At 41.1% G+C, this 7,912-nt stretch overlaps 1 annotated feature.

The window, feature by feature from the left end:
• Nucleotides 788-1,612: a transcriptional cis regulatory region, noted in NCBI's record as "candidate enhancer chr4.1581 targeted for multiplex CRISPR interference". NCBI's record gives its function as "positively regulates KIT gene expression with high confidence in K562 cells {active_cell/tissue: K562}" and the evidence as "EXISTENCE:mutant phenotype evidence [ECO:0000015][PMID:30612741]".

Genomic DNA, 7,912 nt, shown 5'->3' on the forward strand with positions numbered 1-7,912 from the left:
TTGGGCTGCAGAGGTGAGACCTAGCTGCCCCTAGAGGGGACAGAAAAGCAGAGACACCACTAGAAGATGACTAAGGAAGGAAGAAAATGTTTTGGCCCCCTCCCTTGCACTTTGGGAGATTCAGGACAGAAGGATGGTAAGGAAGGAGTGTGGATTAACAGCAGAAGAAAAGAGGGTTCCACTCCCCTAAGAAGCCTGTCCAGGTTCCTCTCCGCTCTTTTATTTTTGTCACACAATATTCAGAACAATATCTTAATATTTTGTTACGCTTCTTTTTTATGTGTCTGTCTCCTCTTACCAAATTACGGGGCATTTGGGGTAGAGGCTCTGTTTTTTCATTATTTTTGTCCCCAAATCTGGTTGAGAACCTGGAAGAAGCACAAGAGGTATGCACTCTACAGATTTTTGTTGAATTGGATACAAGGAAGGAAGGGAAATAGGGAGGGAGGAAGGAAGCCGGATCAAAGACTTTTCTCTGTAGCCCTCTGTCTCAGGGTCCCCAGGTCTTCTGAGAAAAAGAGAGTTACCCTCAGGAACAGTTAGACTAATGAGCTCAGAGTTGAGAAGAAAGGAAAGGATGATAGGTAGGCAGATAGATGATAGATAGATAGATAGTAGATAGATAGATAGATAGATAGATAGATAGATAGATAGATAGTTGTAGATAGATAGAGGTGATAGCCCATTTACTTGCTATTATTTGAGATTCTTTGAACAGTGAGCAAAGCCTTTCGTTTTGCCATTAGAAGTAAAAAAGATTAACATGCAAATTCCTGAGAGAAACACACATTGACAAGATAGAGTTTGGGGCAAAGTATACATGATAATAGTGGATTCTTTCCCATTTTGGAAGGGAAACGAGGTAGAAGGTTATAAGACAGCCCATTTGGTGGAAGAGGGTGTTTCTGAAGAGGGAAACATTCTCAAAGAGGAGACCCAGGTCCCCAGAGTCACACTGTGGCAGTTGCACCCTCATCTGTGCACACAGGTGCTGGCCGCCAGCAGGACAGCTGTGCAGTGCCACTGGAACAGCCTCCGCAGGCCTCTGCTCCCAGCAGATAATAGACTGGTCATGAGGTATTTTTAAGCAGTTGCTTAAAAAGACAGCATTGCGTGACCACAACCCTGGGGTGGCTCATAAACCCAAGCCTGTAGGAATCTTGAGATAAGCTTTCCATTTTACTGAGCACTGCTCAAGCGCTTCCTAGAATATTGTGTTTGAGCCCCGTAATTAAAGAGGAAAGAGGAGGCCTGGGAGAGGTTCCGAGAAGAATTGTGAGGATATTAAAAGGTTGGAAACAATAAAGCTTGTGGGAGAAAAAAGGTTAAAAGAACTGGGATTATTTAGACTGAAGGACAGAAGGTCAAGGAGCAGAGTAACAATAATCTTCAAATACACTCCTTCTAGCGTCAGGGAATACAGCTAATTCCTCACTGATAAAATAGTCAGTTGAGGCCCGGGTACACTTGCTATACGGACTTGTTAGCAAATAAGACAGAGTTCAGCAAAATGAAGGAGCTGACAGCTCAGGCGGTCGCAGTCTGCCTGATTGTCCTAGATCTTCATCATGACCCCTTTGCAGGAGCCATAGAGACCCAGGGTAGGCAGGAAGCCTGGTAGGAGATGCAATTCTTTCTAGACAGTGTAAACTCTCAGTGGGATTAGTGAAAGCCTTCGTGTGAGTCTAAGAAATATCCCCCACCAGGTTTATTTATCTATTAAACAAAAGTTTATTATTTTTCCCATTGTAAAAGTAATGCACACTCTATCAGGAAACCAGTTGCTTTCTAAATAAAAGCAAATCCAGATCTTCCAGAGTTGTCAATGAAGGGAGAATTCTACATGGGTGTATGGGGGAGGAGGGAGGAAGAGGGGAAGAGAGTGAGGGGTGGTTAAGACATTATAATGAGACTTTACTAAGGTTTTAGGATTATCTGAAAACTTGATTTACAACACAATCCAGGTTTACACACAGCATAGCTTCCTAATCTTCAGCCTGAGCCCCTGCAGAGATGCCTCCTGCCTGGATCCCACTGTATCCACTGGGAAGAGAGAAGCCTGCCAGCTCCTATAATAGAGTCAAGGCTTCATCCTGCTAAGTGGGCAGCAAATGGACAAGCTCAAGATGGGAGTCAGCCAAGGACCCCTTCCCATGTCTCTTTCCCAGTACTCCTACCATTTCCAACCTTAGAGAACCTGGAATCAAGTCTATTAATGATGCAGACAAACATCAAATCTACTTGAGGGAGCCAACCTTCCTCAGTCCACCATTCAAAGGCATTCATACTGGTGTATTTCCTCATAGTATATATTTTTTTCTATGTTTCTACTTTGTTGTAAATACTTAAACTGATGACATGTATATGATTTTGCAACTTTTTTCACCTGTTTTAGTCAAGTTAAACTAATCTAAGTTGTACGTGTAGTATGAAACCCTTTTTTTTAATAAATATGCACACATATGCATACTTACATTAAAAAGACTGGGAGGAATCCACCCAAAATACAACTATGGTTATCTGTAGGTGTGGGATTACAAATTATTTTATTTTTGATGTTGTTATCATTGGTATTCTTCACAATTAATAAGTTTTACTTTTGTAAAAAGCAAAAATACATTGTTGCACAATTACAACATAAAAATTTCTCTTATTATTATGAACTCTGACCACACCGTTTCTTTAGTTTTGTTTTGAGACAGGGTCTTACTTTGTTGCCCAGGCTGTAGCGCAGTGGTGCAATCACAGCTCACTGCAGCCTCAACCACCTGTGCTCCAGCCATACTCCAGCCTCAGCCTCCAGAGCAGCTGGGACTACAGGCATGTGCCACCTTGCCTAACTAATATTTTTCTTTTTTTCTTTGTAGAGATGGGGTCTCACTACATTGCCAGGCTAATCTTGAACTCCTGGGCTCAAGCAATCCTCCTGACTTGGCCTCTGAAAGTGCTAGGATTACAGGTGTGAGCTACCGTGCCTATCCCTGACCACACCATTTCTAATGGCCTTTTGGGCGAGGGTGTGGCTGATACTTCATTTAATTATTCCTTCCCACATTGCTGAAGTTAGGCTGTCTCAAATGAAAGGACATATTCTCAATAGGATCAATCTAACTCAATAGGAATCTAAGATACATTCTTGGAAGGGAAGCTATTAAGTTAAATGACATGAATGTTGCTAAACCTCCCTGCAAATTGCCGACAGCCCGTTCTCTCTGATGACAAACATGCTCTGGTTTTAATACCCTTTTCTTTAGCTCTTGTATGTTTTTCTCTCTCTTTCTTTTTCTTCTTCTGGCTGGATTCAGGCTTGTGTGCTTTCATTGTCCCTGCTTTCTGGTATTGATTGCTGTGTTCCTTCCTGTCCCATTTCTCTCCCTACTTCCGTTGAGGAAGGCTTAAGACCCCCAGTGTTATGGGTTTTCCCTGGGCATGCTTCCTTCTGGCTCCTGCCAATGAGATGACACTATTATTAACTTACAAACCTCCATTTCCGTCACCTTGAAATTTAGAACACAAGAAAGCAGTAAGCATGCCAAAGTGCCAGGACCATAACATCTGCCCTGAGGGATTGTCATAAACAATAAATGCTTACCCTACTGATACTGTGAATAGCCTTGACAAAACTAATAAACCTAAGGTCTAAACACATTTCTGATATTTCTTTGATGTCTTGAACACAGCATAGTGTTTTCCATGCCTAGCTAGATAGGCAGCCATAAAAGATGGTGGATTATTTTTAAGTTTATCTGATGCATATGACTTACAGACTGCTGATAGACTATTATAGATGTAAAGGCTCTACTCTTTGCCTTCACCCATTGTCTGAAGACATCAGCCAAACCGTTCTGATGTGAACCTACATGTGAGGACCTCGACTCAAGCAGAGGTTCCCACTGCTGAAAGTTCATGATCTGGTCCAAGAGTTCCTGGCTTTTCGGAGTTATGCTATTGCTCATTCTACATAATAAACACCATTCTGTGCATTTTCCATCTTCAACTCACAACCTATTTGTGGCTTTATTGGTCACATTCATAGAATTTCAGAGCTATCAAGGATCTTCTAAAAAACTAAGGTGAAATTTACATAACATAAAATTAACCATCTTAAAGTGTACACTTCAGTAACATTTAATACATTCACATTGTTTTGCAATCACCATCTGATATGGTTTGGCTCTGTGTCCCCACCCAAATCTCATATTGAATTGTAGTTCCCAATTTTGCCAGTTTTAGAGGTGGGGCTTAGTGGGAGGTGATTTGATCATGGGGCCGGGTTCTAATAGGTTAGCACCATCCCCCTAGTGCTGTCTCATGATTGAGTTTTCCTGAGATCTGGTTGTTTAAAAGTGTGTAGCACTTCCCCCTTTGCTCTCTCTTCCTCCTGCTCCAGCCATGTAGTGTATCAACCCTGGTATCTAGGTCAAACATTATTCTTTGTAGGTGTCATACATGCTTATCTTTTTTGTAATGAATCTTGAGCAAATGCAAGTTAAGTTGTCCTCAAGAACATTCTCATATCTAGAATACATGAAACTAAACAAAAGATATTAGAGCAAATACAGAGTCCCTTGACAAGGGGAAATGCATAAGATCTAGAATCTTCCAAGTGGACACTTCTTGGGCCCCCATCACAGTCTTCTTGGTGCACTCCAGCCATTGCTGTAGCAAGCTCCTGTCCACAGATGTAACCTGACAACACTTTGCCTTGGCTGTCCTGGGTATGCCTGTTTTCTGCCCTGGGACATCCAGTGTAAAGAAGACCTATAGGTATCCACTTCGTAGTGTAGATGCACAAGCCTGGAAGTACAAGAGAACTAATACGCCAAAGGGCAACAATTCACCAAAGGCCAGGAAGCAGAACTGATGGATCAAGACTTCCTTTTCTATGCCTTGAGTGAACAGATCTGAGTTATCTTCTATATGGCTCTTCAGAGGGTCTCAGTGAAACTCAGGTCCAGCTGCTCAAGGCAGTGTTCAGCTCACTTACACTGAACAGTAATCTTTGTGTTGCCTCCCCTCTTTCACTGTGACACTCTTTCCAGTCTCCACTCTTGTTTCCTGGGGTCATTTTTCAAAATAAACTCTCTGAATGAAAGCCCATATCTCAGGCTTTATGTTATGGTGGAAATCCAGGTTAAGACATGCCTAAGTGTAGGCACTGCTGTTATCCCCGTTTTACATCTCCATTTTAAAGATGAGGAAACAGAGGTCCAGAGACTTTAGGAAACCTCTTGGGCACATAGCTGGCAAAAGACAAAGCAGAGAATCATGCCCATCTGATTTCAGAGCCCAAGTGATTCACGTCACACTCTTTCCACTTAGCCTTTTTATTTATGTCCCTCCCATTGTCTCACTATCCCAGGAGAAGCTAGGTATGTGCAAATTCATCTCAAAGCCTTCTCACTGTGCCCAGCTCCCCAGCCTCATCTACCTTTTGCAAGATGTAATTCCCAAATACCAGAGGACCAAACTCAAATGCTTCCTGCAGCTGACTTTCTGGTAATATTTATAATGGCTAACATTTATTAAGCTCTTTTTAACTGTGAAGCCCTGTCATAAGTCTTTTAAATATATCAGCTCACTTAATTCTCACTACAACCCTATGAGGTAGGCACTCCTATTATCCGACCTTACCAGTGAGGGAACTGAGGCTTATGGAAGTTAAGCAATAACCAAAGACACACACTCTGAAGAAGTGGAGTCATCCTTCCAAGCCAGGTAGTGTGACTTCTGAGCCAATGCTCTTAAGCTATTGTTTCCAGGAGAATACAGATGAGTAAAGCTGGCTGACTAAAGCACAATAGGCAATGGCAGGTATTGCAGCAAATTCGGGAACACAAACTACTAAGAGTGGGGTGGGGATGAGGAGGCAATAAACTCCTTAGCTACCATTGATGGTTGCCTAAAAGCAACTTCAGTCTTCTGATTTTTCAAAGAATCCAAAAATCTAGATTTTATATAAAGCCTTCTAATTTGTTTAAGACTATTGACTAATTCATATTTAAATTACTCTGGGCAAACCAAACAAAATAGGTCTATTCATCAAATTTTAGCCCTCTGCATAACAGTTTGCAAAGTCTATTTAGCTATTCGGTAAGTTCCCTCTTTTCACAAAGTATAGTTATTATTGTCACAAAGGACTCCCATCGTAGTCTATAACTTGTGAGAAAGATAAGATTCATCAGGAAGAGTGATATAATGGGATTGCTTTAATTGTCATAAGCCACCTGGAGCAATTGTTTCTAAAATAACCAGCCAACTGGATATTGCATTTTGATGGAATATTAGGTCATGGAGATTGATGCTGGCTTATGAACCCATAAGTTCTTAGTAATGGAATAAAGATGAAGTATTCTATACTGTTATAAATCTAGTCTTTACATTGTGTAGCTGGACAAAACATCGTGTATTTGAGAATATAATATTCCATTCCATTCTGATTGGAAAAAAGTAACGTATAATGTTCATTTTAGAAAATGTGAAAAATACAGAAAAGGCGAAAAACACAATAATCATTCTTAACCCTCCTGTTCAGAGATAATATCAACAGTCGAGTGTGGTTCTTTTTAGCCTTTTTTTTAGACATAGAATAATTTTTTATAGATAGGTCTCATCTCAAAGTAATGTGAGGTTTTTAAAGAATTTGATTATAGTATGAATATAGACTCAAATTGAAGAGTTCAATTCTGCCTGGTTCAAAGCCATTTAAAGTGATTTTCATGTTTTCAGATTAGTATAGTACAAGCATTTTTAAATTGCTTGAAGTGGCATTTTTTCCCTTTTTCCTTGCTTCCAGTTTTCTAACATTGCTTTTTAGCATTAAAATAAATTTTTCATATACATTTTTAAATTAAATTTTGTGAGATTCTTTTGAGACTCTCTTAACAACTGCTTATGGTTCTGCAAAACAAAAGTAATTCAGAAAGGGTCCTGGAAAGGACATCTTTCTCATGAGAGATAATAAAAAGTTTGAGGGAAGATTTTTTCCAGTGTATAAGTTAATTCTCCAGAGAGTAAGGCATTTGGTGGAGCTGTGTTTGTCCTCTCAGGCCACTTGAATATTGCAAGTTTTTTGTTTGTTTGTTTGTTTGTTGAGACAGAGTCTCGCTCTGTTGTCCAGGCTGGAATGCAATGGCGTGGCCTCAGCTCGCTGCAACCTCCACTTCCCGGGTTCAAGCAATTCTCCTGCCTCAGCCTCCCAAGAAGCTGGGATTACAGGCACCCACCACCACGCCAGGCTAATTTTTTGTATTTTTAGTACTGATGGGGTTTCACCATGTTGGCCAGGCTGGTCTCGAACTCCTGACCTCAGGTGATCCACCCACCTCAGCCTTCCAAAGTGCTGGGATTATAGGCAAGAGCCACTGCGCCCAGCCGAATATTGCAAGTATTGATGAAGCAGAAACTAATCTACTAAATAAGACCTTAGCAGCCTAAGATTCTGAACAGCCCTGCAGTAAATGCTGTTTTTTCTTACCCTAATCCATTCCTCTCTTTCTCCTTCCTAAAAGGACCATAATTTTTGATCTGATGTATACCTAATCCTACTTACTCTAAGCCAGTCTCCTGTTGACTATGATTATTGGTCCAGGGTAGGTGAGACCTATGGCGGCACAATCTGACAGATGGGAGGATTTTATTCCATGGCTGGGAAAAAGTTTATTTCACTCAAGTTTACTCAAACAAGGGAACAAGTAACCCAGACCTGCCATTAGCAACCAAACTGCAACCCAGAGTGAACTTGGCATAGGCTAAAGCTAAAGCAGAAGACAGCAGAGTGAAAACATGCACAGAGTCTGGATCTGTGAGTTACCATGGAGTCTCAGAACATACCGCATCCGAGGCCTGTCCAACAACTGTCTCCCAGCTATGCGAGATATTACCTTTCCTTATTGTTTTACTCTGCATCAAT

Source organism: Homo sapiens, chromosome 4 (genome assembly GCF_000001405.40).
Source record: "Homo sapiens chromosome 4, GRCh38.p14 Primary Assembly".
Lineage (NCBI taxonomy): Eukaryota > Metazoa > Chordata > Mammalia > Primates > Hominidae > Homo > Homo sapiens.